We start from the raw sequence: 22,772 nt of genomic DNA, 5'->3' as shown, positions 1-22,772 counted from the left end.
CCAGCCCACTTGCAAAACTTTTTAACATTTATAAGGTTTTTTACATACTTGATTTTGTTCAGTTCTTAGAATAATCTCATGATGTAGGTGACCTTATTAACTATTTACAATGTGAGAAAATGGATAGTCAATGAAGATAAGTAACTTGTCCAAGGTCACAGCACCAGAACTCCAAACCAGACCTTCTGACCTTCTTGATACAGACTCCTCACAGTCACCTGCATGCCATCTTTGGTTTCAGTGCTATGAACTTTCTTCACTGCCTGTTGGTCTGTAGCTACACCTACTCATGAAGATGCCCAGAGCCTTAGCCGCTCCTTGCTCTGCCATGCTTATCTTATGCAGCTCTGGGAGGGGTGAAGAGGCTGTGGCCAGTTACCTCACTACCACTATAGCTATTCACCACCCTGTTTTCTCCTTTAGCCATTTTAGCTACTACACAATTCTTCTGGGCATTTTCTGTCTTAGTTCCCTAGTATCTGGCCTTCCTTCTTTTCTCAGTAACTGTGACCCCTGCTAGCTAGCCTTGCCAACCAATGGTTAATGAAAGGTCTTGGATATGACTGTCAAAGACAAAAGCACTCATGACCCCAATGTTTCAGGTCACAATGATTAGGAAAATCAGGACAACAAGGCTTGGGCACAGAAAAGCTGGTTTTTGAGAGGGGGATTTAGAGTTTGGTTTAAATGTGTAATCTTTGAGGTAATGGTGGAACAGCCTACTAGATTCAGTTTTCTAGTCCCTGAAAACTAAAACGAGGAATAAGTTGAATCACATATTTGGGGCACCAGCCAAATATATAGCAGCATTTATAGTTAGAATCAAAGTGTTTGTGTTTCTTAATTTAAATGCTTCTCAGAGATTCCATTTAAACAACTTCATTATGAAAATGGAGACTTACCATGCCTTTTTGATATTGTTCAGAGAAAATTGTCATAAATAATACACACAGTTTGAAATGGTTGTACATCTTATGAATCAAGGGGTGGCATGTAAAAAGGTTCCTCAGTGCCTCAATGTGGAAAATATCATAGAATGTTATTCTTCAATTGATTCCTTCCTTGACTTTGGTGTTTATATGGTATCTTAGATATTTTATGTTATTTTAATTATATTTTGTGTCTTTTTATTTGGTTAAAAATGCCTACTTAAATATTAACAGATTTTTAAATATCCCTTTGAACTCTTCCCCATTCCTGTACCTCCTTTCCCTTTTTCCGTTGTAATGTCAGCCACCTGAACATAACCCAGAAAACTAGGTATCAGCCAATTGATGTTTCAGTGGAAATAAGAGAAAGAAGCACTTACTATTTCTCAATGCTTAATTGAGGAAAAGCACATGATATCTTACATATTTTAAATTGGAGGGGATAATAGGGTCAAGTTCATGCATTATATTGTGGACATCTTAATCCTATCAAATGGCTTAGTCAAAATGAGAAAGTTAATGAATTTAAGCAGACAAGTACGAACAGTGCTCTAAAAAAGGTGCTGTTACACCATCCCAACCTGTACACACATGAAAAAAAGCTGGGGTGCATTTTGCGTTTGAATAAGGGTCATGTTGACTGGCCATGGCAGACCCTGCTAGACCATACAGCTGATACTCTGTCACCTGCCAGGACTCAAAAGGACATGGGAGTATGTGGTTAAGTTCTCTAAGGACTCTTTCTTCTAAAGGGAAGCAGTTTTATAGGTGGTCCTTGTAGGTCTGTTGATTCACAATCTCGTGCTTTCTTGATTGGACTGTATTGTTTTACTGTAATTTTTTGGACTTACAAGAAGTCAGGTGTTTTCATGGACTCTTCTCTTTTCCATACAGATGTCCAGAAGGCTTCTTGGGGGAATATTGTCAACATCGAGACCCCTGTGAGAAGAACCGCTGCCAGAATGGTGGGACTTGTGTGGCCCAGGCCATGCTGGGGAAAGCCACGTGCCGATGTGCCTCAGGGTTTACAGGAGAGGACTGCCAATACTCGACATCTCATCCATGCTTTGTGTCTCGACCTTGCCTGAATGGCGGCACATGCCATATGCTCAGCCGGGATACCTATGAGTGCACCTGTCAAGTCGGGTTTACAGGTAACTAATGAGACCAAAGCCAGTGCTTTCCTACCTTCAGCAGATACCTTTATTTAGCATCTTTTAGATCATGGTGTCTGGCTCTTAAATGTCCCCCAGCTCTGGTGCACATTTAACATTATGATAAGGAACTGGGATGTTCCAGACAACTATCCCTAACTTCCTTTTAAGAGTTTCAGGGGGCAGAGAAAGAGAAAGAAAAAGGACCAAATACTTTGACTGCTTAAAGTATATATGTCAGGGCCAGGTGCGGTGGCGCACGCTTGCAATCCCAGCATTTTGGCAGGCCAAGGCAGGAGGATCACTTGAGGCTAGAGGTTTGAGACCAGCCTGGGAAACATAGCAAGACCCCATCTCTACAAAAAAACAAGAATAAAAATAAAACAAAATTAGTCATGTGTGGTGGTGTGCACCTGTAGTCCTAACTACTTGGGAGGCTGAAGTGGAAGAATTGCTTGAGCCCAGGAGTTTGAGGCTGCAGTGAGCTATGATCGCACCACTGCACTCTAGCCTGGGTGACAGAGTGAGACCCTGTCTCAAAAAAAAAAAATATGTACACCAGGATGGGGAATCAGAGTTTACTTCACTAAAAGAAATAAGTACACTGTCACCAGAGGAAAAGTTGCTGATGTTATTGACTATTTGCTTTTAGAAATCTCCCTCCCTAGACATTCAGGGCACTGGCTTTTCTGGTTTTCTGAACCCTGTTCCTTTTGCTTCTTCATTACCTTGTTCTTATCCATTAAATGTTTGTGCTCCCTGGAGCACTGTTTTGCGCCCTCTTTTGAGCCACATCACAGCTCTCCCTAGGGAATTTCACTGTCTGTATTCGCCTCCACTGCCACTGTCTTCATTAGCTTGCTGATGAATCTCACCATCATTCCCTTAGCTCCACCCAACCCTGACATTCAGGCTCATGTTTCTAGTTATCCTTTGTATGTTCTCCTTGGAGATATTCTACAGGTACTTTCAGCTCACCTTGTTGACAGAAATACGTAGCAACCATGTACATCCCAAATACCCACGCTAGAAACTCCCTGTCCCTTGTTCTGACCTCATTTCAACTCAGTCACCCAAGCCAACCTCTGAGTTGCCTTTCACCTGTCTATTCCTCCCATTTCCTCTGCTACCCTGTAGTTGAAGGCCATGTTATCTCTCACCTGGGCTTCTGAAGTAGTTTCTGAATACGTTTTCTTGCCTTTATTCTCTCCCCATCTCATTCACCCATGATATTACTACATCTTTGATTATAAATGCAAATATTCTAACAATCTCACCTGCTTACAATGTCTAATATTTTTTCATCATCCGCAGAATAAACTGCAAACTCTTTTACATGACTTCCATAGCTCTCTACAGCCTAGACTTTACATCTTTTTATAGCCTGGCCTCCCCACAAGCATCTAGGCCTAGTCACACCAAATTCTCCTTATTTCCTGAAAATGTTGTACTTATTATTGCTTCCATACAGTTACACACCCTTTTGCCTGGAATGCCCTTTTCTACAACTGGTGATTGTCCAATGTTATTTAAAACTGTGTCTCAGTGACCCTTTCATGATTCCTTTAGGCAAATGGTCTCTAAGTTTTATTAGTTTTATGTATCACATTTTATTGTAATTTTTTTTACACATATCTCACCTGAATAGATTGTGGGTTTTTCTAGGTGGGTCTGAGCTTTATTCAAAAGTGTTTATTAAATTAGATGAGAAAAGGAGGAACATTCTTCATTTTTTCTCCTGCTTTAAGCACTAAACCAAGAGTTCTATAAATGCAATAAGCAAAAAAGTGAAAAATGTACTCAGAAGACTATACTGGATCAGTTAGTGTAGAATACTGTTATATTAATTTTTCATTGTATTAGGGTTCTCTAGAGGGATGGAACTAATGGAATATATATGTATGTATATATATTCCAACCCAAAGTGTCTTGGTGGCAATCTTAATATATATATATTGGCAATCTTTATATATATATAAAGGAGAGTTTGTTAAGTATTAATTCACATGATCACAAGGTCCCACAATAGGCTGTCTGCAGGCTGAGGAGCAAGGAGAGCCAGTCTGAGTTCCAAAACCGAAGAACTTGGGGTTCGATATTTGAGGGCAGGAAACATCCAGCACGGGAAAAAGATGTAGGCTGGGAGGCTAGGCCAGTCTCGCTTTTTCATGTTTTTCTGCCTGCTTTATATTTGCTGACAGATGATCAAATGGTGTCCATCCAGATTAAGGGTGGGTCTGCCTTCCCCAGCCCACTGACTCAAATGTTAATCTCCTTTGGCAACACCTTCACAGACACACCCAAGATCAATATTTTGTATCCTTCAATTCAATCAAGTTGACACACTCAGTTTTAACCACCACAAATCTACCCCTTGTCAACTTGAACCCATACACATCTCCTGAGATCACACATAATCTTCAAATAAAGACAATAATTAGGTCATAATTACACCTGATGTAGTACAACTATTCTTCATACATCCGGAAACACACTAGTCCCCAACTGAAACACTCTTACATAAAGTTAACGATACTTAAATGCTGATGTGAAGTCAATAAATCTTATGTCACATGATAAAGGAGAAAGAAAATAAAATGAAGATATTTTCTTAGTACAAGTGTGTGCAAGCACAGACATGTTTTTAATAAAAGAAGGAGGAAATACTGAGGACAATTACAGTCCTCATTTCTGCAGCTGGTCACATGGTAGTAGCTGGTATTGATGACTACCTTCTTCTACCCATTTTGTATTCCTTTTGCCTTCAGCAAACACCTCAGCAGGTTGTGTTTTTTTTTTTCCTGATGGAGAGGCCCAAACCTTCATTCATCCAGGCGGGACCATTTGTAGTCCCGCCTGGATTGGGCTGTTGTAGTTGCCCATTGACCTTAATCACAGGGCATGGTAATACTAAGAGACGCCCTAATGGATCTCCTGTATTCCATGAATACTCTTTCTTACCTCCGTTCTGGAGTAGTAGACTGATTTCATCTTGATAGCCTGGGTCTTGATAGCCTTGATGTCCCAGCCAACACTGTAACGCCTTTCTTAGCCTGTTTACTTAAAGGTAGGAACCCAAAGTGTCCTGGTGGCAATCTTAACTACCAGTTTAATGGAATTGTTGTTGTGTCTTCTGGTGGCAGCGTTCCTCCCTCTGGAACTAAGACCTCTAGGCCAGCAGAACTTAATGTTGCGGGAACAGGAAGCAAACATTTTGCTAGTGGATCACTAGGGGTGATGGTGAGTGGTACCACTTCCATTTCCACCCCTTGATTCCTGGACCTGTGAATCCTGGCTATGGGAGAAACAGTACCACATATTGGACGCTGATTCAGAGCATACACAGCCTTCTTGAGAACTTTGCCCCAACCCTGCAAAGTATTCTCACCTAGTTGGCATTGTAATTGTGACTGCAAAAGGCCATTCCACCGTTCTGCTTCAGGATGTTGGGGAACATGGTAAGACCAGTGAATTCCATGAGCATGAGCCCACTGCTGCACTTCTTTAGCCATAAAGTGAATGCCTTGGTCAGAGGCAATGCTGTGTGGAATACCATGACAGTGGATAAGGCATTCCATGAGTCCGCGGATGGTAGTCTTGGCAGAACCATTGCATGCAGGATAGGCAAACCCATATCCAGAGTAAGTGTTTATTCCAGTAAGGACAAACATCTGCCCTTTTCACAATGGAAGAAGTCCAACATAATCAACCTGCCACCAAGTGGCTGGCTGATCACCCTGAGGAATAGTGCCATATCAAAGGCGCAGTGTTGGTTTCTGCTGCTGGCAAATTGGGCACTCTGCGGTGGCAGTAGCCAGGTCAGCTTTCCACCGGCCCATCTTGTTTTCTGCACTGGGAAGGTGGGGCATGAGCACAAATGTTAGGACCTGAAAGGTGGTGAACTCTGCCTGGGCAGGGCAAAGCCAGAGGAAACTCTGGTGGAGGTCCGTAGCAGTCCTGATGTGCAAATCGGTCATCCAACCTGGGTGTAGGGGCGAAAGACTAATTGAACCATCTAGTAGCTGGTTCCCTCCAAAGTTTCCCTCGGGATAGCTGGCACTCTCGCAAAAACCCCACTCTTGGTACCAATTTACTGTATTAGTCCATTTTCACGCTGCTGATAAAGATATCCCCGAGACCGGGAAGAAAAGAGGTTTAATTGGACTTACAGTTCCATATGGCTGGGGAGGCCTCAGAATTATGGTGGGAGGCAAAAGGCACTTCTTTCATGGTGGTGGCAAGAGAAAATTAGGAAGAAGCAAAAGCAGAACCCCTGAGAAACCCATCAGATCTCATGAGACTTATTCACTCTCATGAGAATAGCACAGGAAAGACTGGCCCCCATGATACAGTTACCCCACTGGGTCCCTCCCACAACACATGGGAATTCTGGGAGATACAATTCAAGTTGAGATTTGGGTGGGGACACTACCAAACCATATCATTCATCAAAAGGTGTTGGTGGGGTAGAGGGTAGTTAGGATGATCCATGATCTCCATCATGATGATGATGGTATTGATGATGTAAGTCACTGAAAATATTTGGTGTTATAAGAATAATTTCTTCCTGATTGTCAGTTTTGAGTTGTTTTGCTATTAGGAGGCAAAGTAGGGGGGCATATACCCACTTAAAATATTTTAATTCTGGCTAGTGGAAATGACAGTAATGCCTTCTTCATAATTAAAATGTCACTCTGAAATGGTCCCAAATTAAAACTTCTTCCTTTGTTGTTAAGAAGGATCTCTTCTTGGTGTGTTCTGCAAGATTCTGATCACCTTTTTTTTTTTTTTTTTTTTTGAGATGGAGTATTGCTTTGTCATCCAGGCTGGAGTGCAGGGTGCAATCTCGGTTCACTGCAAGCTCCACCTCCCGGGTTCACGCCATTCTTCTGCCTCAGCCTCCTGAGTAGCTGGGACTACAGGCACCTACCGCCATGCCCGGCTAATTTTTGTATTTTTAGTAGAGATGGGCTTTCACCTTGTTAGCCAGAATGGTCTGGATCGCCTGACCTCATGATCCACCCGCCTCGGCCTCCCAAAGTGCTGGGATTACAGGTGTGAGCCACCACACCCGGCCGATTCTGATCATCTTTTATACATATGCTATTTTTGTCTATCACTTTAGGAATCATCACAGATCAAGGTCATCCTTTTGGTTTTTGTGATAGCGCTATACCTCAGTCAGCTTACTAGCTCATCTCCACTCAGAGATGAAGAAGCATAGGCAGCAAGTTAGTGCCTATACATAATATATATGGAAACCAAATTCAGGGTTGATTCTTTCTTTCTTTCTCCCTTTCTTTCTTTCTTTCTTTCTCTTTCTTTCTTTCTTTCTTTCTTTCTTTCTTTCTTTCTTTCTTTCTTTCTCTCTCTTTCTCTCTTTCTCTCTCTTTCCCTCTCTCTTTCTGTCTTTCTTTCTTCTCACTCTGTTGCTTAGTACAGTGGCGCAGTCTCGGCTCACTGCAACCTCCACCTCTTGGGTTCGAGTGATTCTTGTGCCTCAGCCTCCCAGGTAGCTGGGATTACAGGCATGCGCTATGAAGCCCGGCTAATTTTTGTATTTTTAGAAAAGATGGCGTTTCACCATGTTGGCCAGGCTGGTCTCAAACTCCTAACCACAAGTGATCTGCCCACCTCAGCCTCCCAAAGTGCTGGGATTACAGGCATCAGCCACCACTTCCGGTCCGGGGATCTTTCTGTTTCAGTTGTGGGCATCACTCTGAAAATCACACTTGCTAGAAGTGAGCATTTATATCTCTTCTCCACTGTAAATAAGTGCCTCTTAGTGACATGAGTGGAAAGACAAGAAGAATTGCAGTTCCTTCATTTTCTGTCTTAGCTCCCTGAGATGTATATGCTGTGCCTAAATTTGTGTTATAGTTTTCTCCTTTGATTTGACATTCCTTGATAGGCAGAGAGCACTTTTCTGTGCTCATATGTCACATCTCGCATCTTTTTCCCTTATAGAAAAACTCTTGTGTCTCCCATTTACCTTTCTATGAGGTCAGAGATTTAGATACTTTCCTAGACAATCAACTGGAGTATTAACAAATTCAAGGAGTTCTCGCCATCCCAGTACTGGGTATATACCCAAAGAATTATAAATCGTGCTGCTATAAAGACACATGCACACGTATGTTTATTGCGGCACTATTCACAATAGCAAAGACTTGGAACCAACCCAAATGTCCATCAATGATAGACTGGATTAAGAAAATGTGGCACATATACACCATGGAATACTATTCAGCCATAAAAAAGGATGAGTTCATGTCCTTTGTAGGGACATGGATGAAGCTGGAAACCATCATTCTCAGCAAACTATTGCAAGGACAAAAAACCAAACACCGCATGTTCTCACTCATAGGTGGGAATTGAACAATGAGAACACTTGGACACAGGAAGGGGAACATCACAAACCGGGGCCTGTCGTGGGGTGGTGGGACGGGGGAGGGATAGCATTAGGAGATGTACCTAATGTAAATGACGAGTTAATGGGTGCAGCACACCAACATGGCACATATATACATATGTAACAAACCTGCATGTTGTGCACATGTACCCTAGAACTTAAAGTATAATAATAATAATAATAATAATTCAAGGAGTTCTTATCTCTGTAGTTTAAATAATAAGCTACTTAGACTAATGACAACAAAAAGCCAGCCATGTGAATACCAAATTTACTAGTTCTGTGAGGATATTTTTTTCTCTTTCTCTTTCTGCCTCAAAGAATCTGCTTTGCTTCCCCTGGCATCATGATTTAGTTTTCAACCCGTCAGAGTCTTCCTGCTAGTGCTGGTACTTTCCTACTTGAGAAAGTCCACGGAATACCTTCAAGACCTCTGTCCTCCTGATGGCTTCTATTTCATTTGTTATATAGGGACCCAGAGGTCCTTCATCATTTTCAAACACATCAACAGATATTTATAGCAAGGCCACAATTAATAAAATGTTTCCCAGAATATATGTGTGTGTTACATTTAGAGGAAACAGAAGTAGTATTGACTTGTTTCTATCACCAGAGGTCTATTTAGTAACTATATTTTGTGGAAAATATCGATATATTTTATCCATTCAACAGACATGATTTGAGAGCATACCACGGAGACCCAACCCTGCCAGTGTGGCAGGTGGTATAATAGAAGAAAATAGCAAACTTGGTGTATCTGTGTTTGCGCACATGTATGTATGTGAGGGGCACTAAGGATGACTTTACAGAGGTTGGAACTTTTGAGTAGAGTTGCCAAGATAGGGAGAGTTCACTAGGAAAACAGAAGGGAAGTTGATTTTTTTTTTTTTTTGAAATGGAGTCTTGCTGTGTTGCCCAGGCTGGAGTGCAGTGGTACAATCTCGGCTCACTGCAACCTCCGCCTCCTGGGTTCAAGTGATTCTTCTGCCTCAGCCTTCCAAGTAGCTGGGATTACAGGTGCGCGCCACCATGCCCAGCTAATTTTTGTATTTTTAGTAGAGACAGGGTTTCACCATATTGGCTGGGCTGGTCTTGAACTCCTTACCTCATGATCTGCCTGCCTCGGCCTTCCAAAGTGCTGGAATTACAGGTGTGAGCCACTGCTCCTGGCCCGGAAGTTGATATTCAAACAGGAGCAGCATATGCAAAGACAGTGAGCTCTGAGAGAGTAGATGGATCCAGACTCCTATTGCTGATAGCGTCCTGCAGGATTGGGCTTCAATGTGACTAACCTACAATTGCCTCCAGGTGCTCCACCCACTGAGTCCTTGTGTCTCTGCTGAGGTCCTTGGAGAGTTACTGGAGAGAGCTCTGTGTCAGATGACCTTGAGGAGGCTCTGATTTAGCCTTTTGTAAAATGCAAAGAGTTGAGGTCTTCTCCACGCAAGAGCTCGCTGATGTCAATGAGGTATTGAGGATGGGGCCATCTCCTATTTCTGTGGCCAGTACTGAGTTTTGTTATCCTTCCTTTAGGTAAGGAGTGCCAATGGACCGATGCCTGCCTGTCTCATCCCTGTGCAAATGGAAGTACCTGTACCACTGTGGCCAACCAGTTCTCCTGCAAATGCCTCACAGGCTTCACAGGGCAGAAGTGTGAGACTGATGTCAATGAGTGTGACATTCCAGGACACTGCCAGCATGGTGGCATCTGCCTCAACCTGCCTGGTTCCTACCAGTGCCAGTGCCTTCAGGGCTTCACAGGCCAGTACTGTGACAGCCTGTATGTGCCCTGTGCACCCTCGCCTTGTGTCAATGGAGGCACCTGTCGGCAGACTGGTGACTTCACTTTTGAGTGCAACTGCCTTCCAGGTAAGGAGCTCCCTAGTGTCCCAGGATTAGGGGACAAACCCCTAGCACAGGAGGTAGTGGGTGTGGCTCAATTGCTTTTTTTAGGAAGCGCAAGGAAAAAGGGAAGTGAGAATTTTGTGTGGGGTGGGTTGCTAGTGAGGGAGGAGTTTTATGGGCCCACTGTGGTCCATAAACTGAGCAGGGGATAATTTAGCATGTCAGGGTTTATGATGATGAGTGGCTAGAAAATTGTTTATTGTCCCTTTTGTAGAAACAGTGAGAAGAGGAACAGAGCTCTGGGAAAGAGACAGGGAAGTCTGGAATGGAAAAGAACACGATGAGAATTAGACACTGGAAAATATGTATGTGTGGTTAATAAAGTGCTTTAAACTGAATTGACATTAACAGTGGGTGATCAACTTTACTATGTGCTTGTGCTTTTGCTTTTGATGGAGTAATTCATTGTTTTCTTATCCACCTAAATGCACCCAGCTGCCCTTGATTTTCTCTGGGCTACTGGCCTTCACAACCCTCTCCCATGTACCCTCTCTGACTTTGGGGTAACCCTCCCCTAACTTAAAGCTAGAGAATTCTGAAACTGAGGAGGGGATCCTCTGTTAATCAGTGAGCACTTTTTGATGAGCTGATAGATGATATATGAGAGACTATGCGTGGCACAATACTTTGTTACACTCTTCACTGATACAAGTGTTCTAGAGTGTACACACAACCCAAAGATAGAAATAAAAAGAGGAGCAGTGTCGGGGAGCTTGGGGCCTGGTGTTCCATGGAGAGGGAGAAAGGAACAAGCTTGACCAATTCATTCAACTCCTTATAAAAATGATGAGGAGGCTGAAAACCAAGAATTTTGATTGGGAACAGAATACAAGCAGCTGAATCAGATGAATTACTAAGCCACAAAGATCCTGTTTTTATACAAATATCCTTAGTACAAAAACAAAAGAAGGAAAACTGTAGGGGGGAGTAATGTGCTAAGTAAGCAGAATTGCCTCAAAAAGAAGTTGTTCTAGTTACTCTTTCAGAGTGGGAATCTTAGATTCTGGTATTGTGGATATGGTTCACATATAATGGGATTGTGTGTTTTATTTTGGAGGGATTAAAGGTCATAGTTTGGTCCTCAGTATAAAATCAACTGGTAATTTATTCATTTCATTTGGTAAAAATGTATTGACTGCCTGCTATGTTCTAGGCACCATGCTATGTATTTGGAATACAGCTATACAAAGCATTGTCACATAATTGAAATGAAAATTTTATATTATTTAAGTCACAAGAACAAGCTATTTAATTATATTACTTTTAGTTTCTCTTTTAATAAAGAATAGATAATGCTATCATTCTAGATACTAAATAAGTATTTTCTTAACATAATATTACTATCCACTTTATCTTGTAGAAGAAATAACTAAAATACATCTGTCTTCACTCCTGTATTTGTTTGCATTTTAAGGATTAAAGACAGAAATAGAAATGTAAACAACTTTATTTTGAAAATATTTCAACACTGCAAATATCTCTGGGTCTGATATTCTAGTAATCTAATTGGCTAGTAATTGATGTTAGTGTGATTTATTGTTGAAGGCTAAATGTGTTTTTCAGTTTCAAGAAAATTGCTTTTAATAATTGCCTAGAACAAGAGGTTGATTTGGCAGCAAGATGTTGACGGGAAGTTAGAGAAGTCAATAAAGGAAGTTTTTAGCTGAGAGAGAGTGATTATTCACTCCCATAGCCTCTGCATTGTTATCCATTAGCCACGATAAGAACCTTAGGGAATTCTGAGAGTGTGTCCAGGAAAGGATCTGTCAAACTAGAATAGTATCTCCTCCTTGAGAAAGGAAATAACCAAGGATTCTGCAGCTGAGAGGCTGCCAGGGCTAGTGAAATAGAGTAAGGAAATCTTGGCTGTCTCTTATTCTCTGGTTGTAGTTTAACGCAAGACACTTATTTACTCACTGATGGTGTGTGTGTGTGTGGGAGGGGAGATTAGCATGAGGAGTGGGAATGGGGAGATTCAATGAAGAGAAAACTGACATTTTTTTGGTGACTCAGGAACTGTGCCAGGTACTTCCATGCTTATTAGCTCAATTACACAAAAATCTTGGGACCAGGTATTATTTTTCAAGTCTTCCCACATGAAGTAACTGAAGTTTGGAGATGTTAAGTGATTCACCCAAAGTTGTACAGCTAATATGTGGTTAGGCTGGGTCCTGAAACCGAGGCAGTTTATTTTCAAAGCCTTTGCTTTGTGCATCTTACTGCGCCACATTGCACTGCACATCTGCTTCCTGAAAGCACTTTGTAGGTGTGTAAAACTTTTCGTTAAATGCTTTAAGCTGTTTGGGTTAAAAATATATGTTCATGTTATAAGAAAACCAAGACACTCCTAATTATAATCAAATAGTACTTGTTACATATCAATGTGTGTGTGTGTGTGTGTGTGTGTGTGTGTGTGTGTGTGTATATGGCGTTGTGCAGATGTTTAAAAGTAGTTACATAGACTAGTTCTTGCTTTTCAGGGTCCCATAATCTAAACCAGATGACTTCAGCTTTGGATAAATATATAGAAGGAAATTTAAAGAGAATTCAAAACAATAGATGATGCAGTGACACTGTGAATAAATGTTATTTATACAGTTTGTAAGATTTCATGCTCATTGTTCATATGTCCCAGGTGGAGTTCAGAAAATATTCTCTTCATTTCCACAAAGGGGAATAGTGCCTAGAGATGGTTTTCTTTTAAAAAGTCCTTTTCATAATGCAGTGCCCTTCCTTCCATTGCCCTTCATTCCATTGCTTCCCATGCTTGTCAAGAGACTAAAATGTTACTTATAGTAATAGTCACTATCTCAATGTAAATAGCACCCTTATTTGATGAGAATTATTATTTCAGTTCTAAAAATGGGGAAACAAAGTCAGCAGGAGGCAAAGTAGCTTGTTAAAGTATTCTGCAACTTTCAAATGGTTGCTTCCACTGCATTTCACGTCTTGGCACTTCTAATTGAGGGTTACTCTAACCACCCTATTTAAAATTGTAACTGTCCCCCACCCCCTTAATTACTAACCCTGGTCTACTTTTTGTTTTCTTTTTCTGTAACTCTTATCTTCTTACTATATAATTTATACTATATAATTTACTTCATTATGTCTATTGTTCATTGTCTGTCTTTTCCAAATTCTACTGCCTCTTACCCTCTCCAGAATGAAAACTAGTATCTTTGTTTTTGTTTACTGATGTAACCCAAACACCTACAAACAGTGCCCAGTATATACTAGGCCCACAAATATATATTGGCTGACTGACTGTATGGTTTAGTATCATGTCATAGTATTGAGACTGTAACTTTGGTCTTCTCATTTTCTTCTTTGTATTGTGCGTCCTAGACTTAGTTTGGCCTCTCCTTTTGTCCTTGTATACTCTAATACTGGATAAGAATTTTGGAGTCTTTTTCAACTCTGAGTCAGTGAATGCCACATAACTTAGTGACTATATTTAAATGGTTAATTTACAATTTTTTCCCTGCAAAGGATACTGTAGTCACTGTGAGTATTTTAGTATTATTGTAGGACTCAAGAGGGAATTAAAACTACAAAAATGACTCATCTTGTATGACACAGAAAGAAATGTTTCTTCACAGAGGGAGGAGAAAAATATCTTCAAGAGAGAACTAATAGAATCAAATCAATGAACCATGTCTCATCTTTTTGGATAAGTAACTGTTAGTAATCCAGACACTTCATGAGCTTTCATTATGTAAAGTCTTTAGCAGAAGCTAAAGGAGGGGCACCAACCACAGTAATTTTAACTTAAGAACAAAATGGAGCATGAAAATAAATTATTAAATCATTTACTCCCACTATTTTTGGGTTAGGGCCAATAATGGGGAGAGAAAGAGGTAGACTAGTTTTGTGTTTGTGGCTATTTTAATAGAGTAGCACAAGTAATCAAAAAACAGTAGGCTGTTTTGAATTTACTGGCTGTCCCTTATGAGTTCACAGTTAGATTGGACTGTCCTCAATGTACTTTCTTTTTTTTCTTTCTTTCCCACATCTCTTTATTTCTCTGATTTTGTTTAAACTTCATAAAGAGCTCTCTGATCTTTCCTTTCCAAACAATGAAGGTTTATCCTTTGTAAACTACCTCTGTACTCCACAGGCTGATGATATGTGATATCCCTATATCATTAAAGTAAAGCCTAAGCACATTCTATGGCTTTTGTGTCTACTCTGTTGTTGCTGAGCTTATGAACTATTAGAAATAACTCCCTCTTGCATTTTCACACATGGGGAATGTGATGTTCTCTTGGGTATTATGCTAATCATATTTTGGCAGGTTTCTCTGGAGCAGATGCAGAAATGATCATACCACTTTCCAGGGTGTATTATTTTAGCTCCTTTGACTTGGGCCCTAAGTCTGTTTTACCTGATGTTCCTGAAAGATGTTCCTGATGTCCTTCACTGTTCTTTCATGCTGGATGTTCTTGCCTATGCTGCCTCCTCAGCTATCACCCTCTCTTCCCCTTTTTAATGTAGAACTCATTCTTAATGATTTGTCAAAGGCACCCTATTTCACTGAAATGCCTTCTATATTCCCTACCCTCCAAGTGGATTGTAGACCTTCTAAGGTCTTTTGACATCTGCATATCTCTAGCACAGCACTTATCACGGTGATTATTTATCTGTTCATCTTTCCAAGTAGACACTCTCATTTTAACTCCCTACCCTAGTCGCCAGCATCCCCAGCATAGTGCCTGTCATAAAATGGTGCCACAATGAAAATTTGAAAAATGAATGAACGTGATAAACATAGATGAGAATCCTATATTCTACAATTTTTTAAATGTACTGAAATTATTCTTTTTGAATCCTCCTATTTATTTCTGTGACTTCTTTGGTGACAAAGTTAGAAAAAAGTGGAGGTCAGTAGGGAGATATGAAGGGACGCAGGTGGAAGCAGTGAGCCTGGGCGGGTGATGGAGTGGGAGATACGTGGCACAGGGGTCAGTGAGTTAATCTGGGCTCATTCAGAGAATGGAAGGTGTGTGCCAAGAAAACTGGTTGGATAGGGATAGGTCAGGGATTCCCTCTTGCATTCTCACACTTGGGGGCATGTGTCATTTTCTTTTCTTTTCTTTTTTTTTTTTTTTTTTTTTGAGACGGAGCATCGCTCTTTCTCCCAGGCTGGAGTGCAATGGTGCTATCTTGGCTCACTGCAACCTCCACCTCCCGGGTTCAAGCTATTCTCATGTCTCAGCCTTCCAAGTAGCTGGGACTACAGGTGCCTGCCACCATGCTCAGCTAATTTTTGTATTTTTAGTAGAGATGGGGTTTCACCATGTTGGTCAGGTTGGCCTCGAACTCCTGATCTCAGGTGATCCACCTGCCTCGGCTTCTCAAAGTGCTGGGATTCCAGGCATGAGCCACCATGCCTGGCCGCATGTGTCATTTTCTTGGGTGTTATACTGATCGTATATTTGCAGGTTTGCTTTTGTGACAGACTTCTTCTGGGGGAAAAAAAGTATCCTTCTATCTTTTTACTTTTGTCCAGTTCCAGGTATCCCTGTTTTTTTCTTCACTCTTCCTTCCTTGTTCATGGGAGTTTTTCTTGAGGACTTCAAGCCCAGCTTCGGAGAATCCTGGTTGTGTCATCTCATCTCCTTTCTGCTCTCTTCTCTACCTAGCCTTTCCACCCTCACACCTCCCGGGGTCTGAAAATGGAAAGATAAGGGTGTTTCCCTGAAAGTTGCTCTTCTGTGTGGGGATGACAGGTTCTAAAGACTCTTTTCTGGTCCCTGCCCTCATTGCCATGATTAATCAGTTAAGTGGCCCGAGGTTTTATAACAGCACAGTCTTAAAATGCTTCTCCCAAGTTTAATTTCTCTCCATTTGACCTTTTAAGGATGTGAATTGGCTTTAAGCAGTAGACTCCCTTTAGTACGGCGCTGTGAGCCTCTCAGTGAATCTGCTACATCCATTCCACCCACGGGTCTGGAAACTTGTCTGTTTACCTTTCCCTAAAAACCTAAGATATATTTTTAAGAAGTGCCTTGTAACTTTTCATATAGCCTTTCCCCTACTTTGGGTAGACTGTTTCTTACAGGAATTTGGTAGATCTTTCCAAAGAGAATTCTGTATCTGTATTTTTAAAGCATAAATCCTGTCAACTTTGGAGGAGAACTGATTTGGCTTGAGTTTTCTCAGACATGGGAACTTTTGACCTAAGTTTGTATTTTACATTGTTGAAAGGGAACTCCGGGATCCCAGAAAACATATGGACTGCAATTGGGTAAAGCTTCTGTTCCAGAAATGCCTCTTCTGGACATTTCATACAAATGGAAACATGCAGCATGTAGTAATTTATGACAGCTTCTTTCACTTAGCATGAGGTTTTCAAAGTTCATTGATGTGGTAGCATTTGTCAGTACTCTGTGCCTTTTTATGGCTGAATAATATTTTATCATATGGATTTACCACATTTTATCATTTTATTTATCCATCATCAGTTGATTGACATTTGAGTTGCTTCTACTTTTTGAGTATTATCAATAATTCTGTTATGAACATTCTTGTACAATTTTTTGGTAGACATTTATCTTCATATTTCTTGGATATATACCTAGGAGCAGAATTGCTGCGTCAGATGGTAATGCTGTTTAACCTTTTCAGGAACTGTCAGACTGTTCTGAAGTGGGTACATTATTTTACATTCCAACCAGCAGTGTATGAGAATTCCAGTTTCTCCACATCCTCATCAACAGTTGTTATTGTCTGTCTTTTTTATTATATTCATCTGTAATGTGAAGTGTTTATCTCATTGTGGTTTTGATTTACATTTCCCTGATGGTTGATGATTTTCAACATCTTTTCATATACTTATTAGTCATTATGTATCTTCTTTGGAGAATGTCTGTTCAGATCCTTTACCTACTTTATAATTGGTTTATCTTTTTAATATTGAACTGTAATAGTTTTTAAAAAATATATCCTAAATACAAGTCTCTTATCAGATAATATGATTTGCAGATATTTTCTGTCATTCTATGTACTGTCTTTTCACATTCTTGATGATAGACTTTTCAGCCCAAATGTTTTTAACTTGATGGAATACAATTTATTTTTTCTTTTGTTGCTTGTGCTTTCAGTCATATTTGTGAAAACTTTGCTTATCCCACATTACAAAGATTTACTATTTCTAAGTGATTTATAATTTTACCACCTACCTTTAGGTCTCTGATCCATTTTGAGTTAATTTTTATGTGCGAGGAGGGAGTCTAACTTGATTCTTTTACATGTGGATATTTAGTTGTCCCAGGACCATTTGTTGAATTAAGTGCCCAGAACAAGTACATCTATATATAGAGAAAGTAGATTAGTGGTTGTCAGAGACTGTAAGAAGTGGGGAATTGGAGAGTGACTGCCCATAGGTACAGGCATGCTTTTTGGCATTATGAAAATATTCTGGAATTAGGTAGTGGTGATGGTTGCAGAACTTTTGGAATATGGTAAAAGACACTGAAATATATGCTTAAAAATGGTGATTTTTGTGATATATGAATTATACTATAGAACTAATAATAACAGTAATAAAGCAAGGTGTCTTTCCACATCTCCATGCCTTGTATTTTCATTAAAAAAAAAAAAAAAAAAAAGCATTTCAGGGCCAGGCTCAGTGGTTTACTCTTGTAATCCCAGCACTTTTGGAGGCCTAGGTGGGAGGATCACTTGAGGCCAGAAGTTCAAAACCAGCCTGAGCAACATAGCAAGACCTTGTCTCCATGAAAAATAAAAAATTAGCCAGAAATGGTGATGTGTGCCTAGAGTTCCAACTACTTGGAAAGCTGAGGCAAGAGGATCGCTTGAGCCTAGGAGTTCAAGGTTGCAGTGATCTATAATCACCACTGCACTCCAGCCTGGGTGACAGAACAAGACCCTGTCTCAAAAAAAAAAAAAAAAAAAGGCATCTCACTTTAATAGTAAGAGGCCAGAATATGATGCTGGCAGCATGTTGTGAGGAAATGTATTAGATGAAAGAAGTTAAATTTCAGTTCTCCTTTTTTCAGAAATGAGGTATAGGGGAGAGAAACACGTACTTTGAAAGAATTGACCCAGCTGAATTGGAAAATGTGGGAAGGGGATGGGGAAGAGGCTGCTCCACCTGAGATCTGGCTCCAGGACTTACAGCAAGGGGAACTTGGGCAAGTTACAGACTGTCTATGCCTCAGTTTCTTTATCAGCAAAACAGAATCATCCCATAAACTATAAGGTCGATGGTATCAGCGGGTCCCCAAACTGACTGCACATCTGAGTCATGTTAACAAACACATTCCAGGCCCCACCTGAGCCCTCTGAATCAGAATCCCTGTAAGGAGGATGATGAACTTGAATTTGCACTGACTTTCCCAGCTGTTTCTTACTCTGATCAACTTGGGGGTAGGACCCATTGAGCTGCATCACATCATTCCAAAGCCAAAACACAACAGCAGGACAAGAATATTTTCAAGGCAGTCTCTAAAGCAGAGGAGAAACTGTTGAGGGAACTTAGAAGTAAAGGAGATCTGGCTTGCTGGGCTCCATTTGAACTTTGAGTACAACAGAGACATGAGCCCTTCGGGACACATGCCTGAGGTAGTGACAATCCAACTTTGGAAGAGTGGAAGCCCTAGTTTCAAATTCAAGCATGCTTTGAGTATAAATTAAGTTTACCTCTTTTTGCACAGCAACATGGCCAATCTTTCCTAAGCTGCTCAGCTTACAAGAAAAGGAATCATACTGCTAAGAATTCAAACTTCAGCAGTCATAGGTAAGTAAGGAAGTCTTATAAACCTATTCTAGCCACCTAACCAGAAACTCGAAATTTAGCAGGTTCTTTCAGTTTCAGGACAGTTGTGTTCACTAGATCAGAGGCATTGAGACATGAAGAACAGACCCTTAAAAAGGGAAAGTGTTCCCTTCAGTTTGAGGACATCACTGGAACATTAGGGAAGTGGGAACACAGCTGCTCACTCTACAGTGTGGGTTGCCTTTGTGTCTGGAATGTGTCTGACGTCCTGATCCCTGTGCACATTTCAGGGAGCCTTGGGAGGACCCCGAATCACTGATGGAATTGCGCAGTGCATGGAGATGGCTCAGCAGGATGAGGGTAAATGCAGGGGCAAGTCCAGGCCATACTGAGAGACAATGAGTGGCGCTGATGAGGACAAAGATAAAATCAAAAGTTTGTGCTTCATCTTCAAAAACTCAAGCTGATAACAAACTTGGCCTGATGAGAAATAATAAGTATTTTTCTATTTACATGAGAATTTAATCTCAAAACAGAAATCAGAAAAATATGAAGTCCAGGGCATAAAACCTAAAACTATTGCTCATATTTATTCTTTCTAAATAGAGCAAAGTGTACAATCTTCTCCATAAGACATACATTGTGGTTATAAAAAGGCAAAAGTCTTAGTGAGAATCATTGGTATTCCATAGAAGAGTGAATTAAACACAGCCAAGGGAAGACCCACGTCTCATACTTCTCTTGTATATTCCAAAGTTCCAGGGAAATTCCAGGTGATAGAGGTTATTTCCCATACTGTTAAAGCAAGGTTTCAGACACTTCTGAATTTTGGTCCCAGTACTCTAGAAGGGCACACCTCTGTCCTGGAAAATAATACAGGAATGAATACTCTTCCCGTGACCCATTCTGGTCATTCTTCCAGCATCACAAAAACCAAAAAATGGAAATATGGCCAAATACGTGATTAGCTGTCCCTCATCTTCAGGTTTCTTATCTGTTACTTATAGATAATAGCATTACCTTAAGGATTATGATGAAGATACAATGTCCAAATATAAACACAGTTTTGAGCAAAATGCCTTGTATGAATTGGTCAATGAATAATTACTAAATATGTGAATATTTACTGGATTGTATGGATCCTATGAATAATTACTGAATAATTATTGTGATTGCTTTTATTGGCAGTGCTGAAAACTCATCCCTTTGTGACCTCAAGTAACCCATGACACTTTGTGAACCTGCAGTTTTTTCATTTAGAAACTTGACAGATTTTCATTCTGACACAGAATGTCAGGTCTCCCAGACCCTAGAAAATACATTGACTTAAAGCCTTTGATACATCTCAAAGCAGTATCCTTACAGTGTCACTGGAAGATGGTGCGGGCTGCAGAGAGGGATGCTTTCAAATGGGATTAACCAGTCCTCCTTCCTTCACTTCCACATGAATGCTGGGCAGCCCAGGGTCAACCCACTGCACCCTCAACTCAGGCAAGTCCAGCAGCCAATCTTAGGAGACCTGGGCTACAGAACAGTCTCTCAAGTTCCAGGCTCACAAAACCTAGGTGGGGATGAAAGCTGAGAAAGCGAAGAGGTGGTTCAGGGGATCACTCTTTCCTACTTGTTCCTCTCACCTCAAACTCACCTTCTACTGCACAGCAACACTGAGGATCGCCAACCAACCCTGACCATAACCTTGATCTTGCCATGTTCTGTTAGTGGAATGCAACCCAAAATCAATGGTGTTAGGTCATCTCAACAAAATATATATCAAACCATATTCCATAAGAACTGCTCGTGGCCCTGTTCTTTTCAGTATATGGGAAAACAAAATGGAAACAACAAAATAGCATCAGGTTTACAAAACTTCCCAAGATAGATGGTCACACATGTTTTCAGGAGACCTCTATATAAATGACTTTGATCACTTGATACCTTGAAAAGAGGTCTTGGGGCACTAGAATGACATCTATAAGTGACAAGTATAAAATGTAGTGCTCAGTGACATTAAAAAACAAATCAACCCACATAGAGGAAGAGCTTTGGACGTAGGGATGTCAAACTGGTCTAGAATGTAATGAAAACCCAAGAAGGTGCCCCAGTAAGAAAGAAGAAATCAATCTAACAATGGGATGCAGCAGCAAGAATACTGAGACAGGAAAGAAAATATTTTAAAAAAATGAATTATTCATTCACTTTCTAGTGGATACAGAAAAAACTGCAGAAGACCCGGAGGATATCAGGGCAGGCTAAAAGTTTGATATCTTACACCTGTGGAAAAGCCTTAAGCTCTGTTTTAACTGAGAGCAGGTGGGGTGACTTCATGACTACCATTAAGAAAATATAACCTGTTGGGAAACTGTTTCTGCCTTGATGATGTTGTACAGACAAGAGATAAACAGTGAGGAATATGCTTAGATGTATTGGGAAAGACACGGGTCTGTGGCATTGTCACAAGGGTACACGAATACTGAGAGTGAATGCTGAAGGAATGATCCCCATTGGTGGTGACCCTCAGGTGAGAGTAGGGTGCCTGTGTTTCAGCAAAGCCTGGGCAATTGGAATGCAGAGCTCCTAAGATTCCATGACACCCCCACCTTCTAATTCTGTTATTGCAACTGCAGACGGTTACCTGGCACGCTGGCCACATTCTGCCTCACTCTTATCAGAGTCTGAGCTACTGGCAGTGCTTTCAGCTCTGAGTTGAGGCACCTCGAACCTTGTTTTTGTGGTGAAGGATCCTAAAGTGCTGTGGGGAGTGATCACATTTTTCACAACAGTAAGTTAAGAATTTCAGTTACTGACATCCCTCAGTCCTGATTAAACCGATTTGATTTCACCAGTTTTTAACCCATCATATGTTTGGGTTTCTTCTCCCCAGTCCCTGACTCCACCTCTTCTGCCACAAACGTCAGCATGGTGGTATCAGCCGGCCCTTGGTCCAGTGAGAAGGCAGAGATGAACATTCTAGAAATCAACGAGACATTGCGCCCCCAGCTGGCAGAGAAGAAACAGCAGTTCAGAAACCTCAAAGAGAAATGTTTTCTAACTCAACTGGCCGGCTTCCTGGCCAACCAACAGAAGAAATACAGTAAGATCTATAGGCTCACCATCATGAAAGTGATGAATGATATCCTGTCTTCTCTCTGAGACACTAAATGCTCTCTCCATCAAAAATAATTTCATCCTTCCTGTACTTCTAAGAAAACAGAAATGGGTATTTTAACATTTTGTTAAAGTTGGAAGACAGAGGTGCCAAAGTATTTAGCAACTTTCCATGTTTGCAATCAGATGGGGGTGGAACTAGAGTTAAACTCACAGTTATTGATTTCTAACGCAGGCACAGAATGACCTGTTTTCTCCAAGGGGCTCAATCGTGTTTTCAAGAATCCTCTCTGTACCATATAAGATCCTGCAGACAAATAACATCTAGTCTGTTGTTCTAAATGTCTAGGACTAGTGAACTTTTATTCAGTTCAAGTTTCTGTTGAGGCCCAAGAGGCAAAGCTCTGTTCTAGTGACTCTGAGGGGAACTTGGTGATAGTAGCCAGTACCTGCTCTGAGGGGCTTCAAGGGGAGTCTGCTCCTAATAGAACCTGTGCTATCTATAAGTGACAGCATCAAGAGCAGGG

General features: G+C 40.8%; 2 protein-coding genes across 15 annotated transcripts in view; both read left to right on the top strand.

Moving 5' to 3' along the window:
- NOTCH2NLB (notch 2 N-terminal like B) overlaps nucleotides 1-17,489 on the top strand; it is a 112,254-nt gene extending 94,765 nt beyond the window's left edge. For 8 of the 13 annotated variants that reach the window (XM_047420582.1, XM_047420606.1, XM_047420702.1 and 5 more), the window contains 2 exons: nucleotides 1,824-2,083; nucleotides 10,029-10,668. In XM_047420582.1, the coding sequence (XP_047276538.1) occupies nucleotides 1,824-2,083; nucleotides 10,029-10,552 (784 nt within the window). In that variant the 3' untranslated portion in view covers nucleotides 10,553-10,668. Of the gene's footprint in view, nucleotides 1-1,823; nucleotides 2,084-10,028 lie in introns of all 13 variants that reach the window. The other 5 variants (XM_047420744.1, NM_001395234.1, NM_001364008.2 and 2 more) reach the window with 1 other exon arrangement.
- A 4,273-nt stretch (nucleotides 17,490-21,762) lies between these two features.
- Nucleotides 21,763-22,772, top strand: part of NBPF14 (NBPF member 14) — a 64,627-nt gene continuing 63,617 nt past the window's right edge. The window contains exons 1-2 of one of the 2 annotated variants that reach the window (NM_001395631.1): nucleotides 21,763-21,919; nucleotides 22,022-22,231. In NM_001395631.1, coding sequence (NP_001382560.1) covers nucleotides 22,057-22,231 — 175 coding nt within the window. In that variant the 5' untranslated portion in view covers nucleotides 21,763-21,919; nucleotides 22,022-22,056. Of the gene's footprint in view, nucleotides 21,920-22,021; nucleotides 22,232-22,772 lie in introns of those variants that run through there. The other variant, NM_015383.2, reaches the window with a different exon arrangement.

The sequence above is a fragment of the Homo sapiens genome, chromosome 1, assembly GCF_000001405.40.
Source record: "Homo sapiens chromosome 1, GRCh38.p14 Primary Assembly".
In the NCBI taxonomy this organism is placed as follows: Eukaryota; Metazoa; Chordata; class Mammalia; order Primates; family Hominidae; genus Homo; species Homo sapiens.
This window is presented reverse-complemented; position numbering and strand designations above follow the sequence as displayed.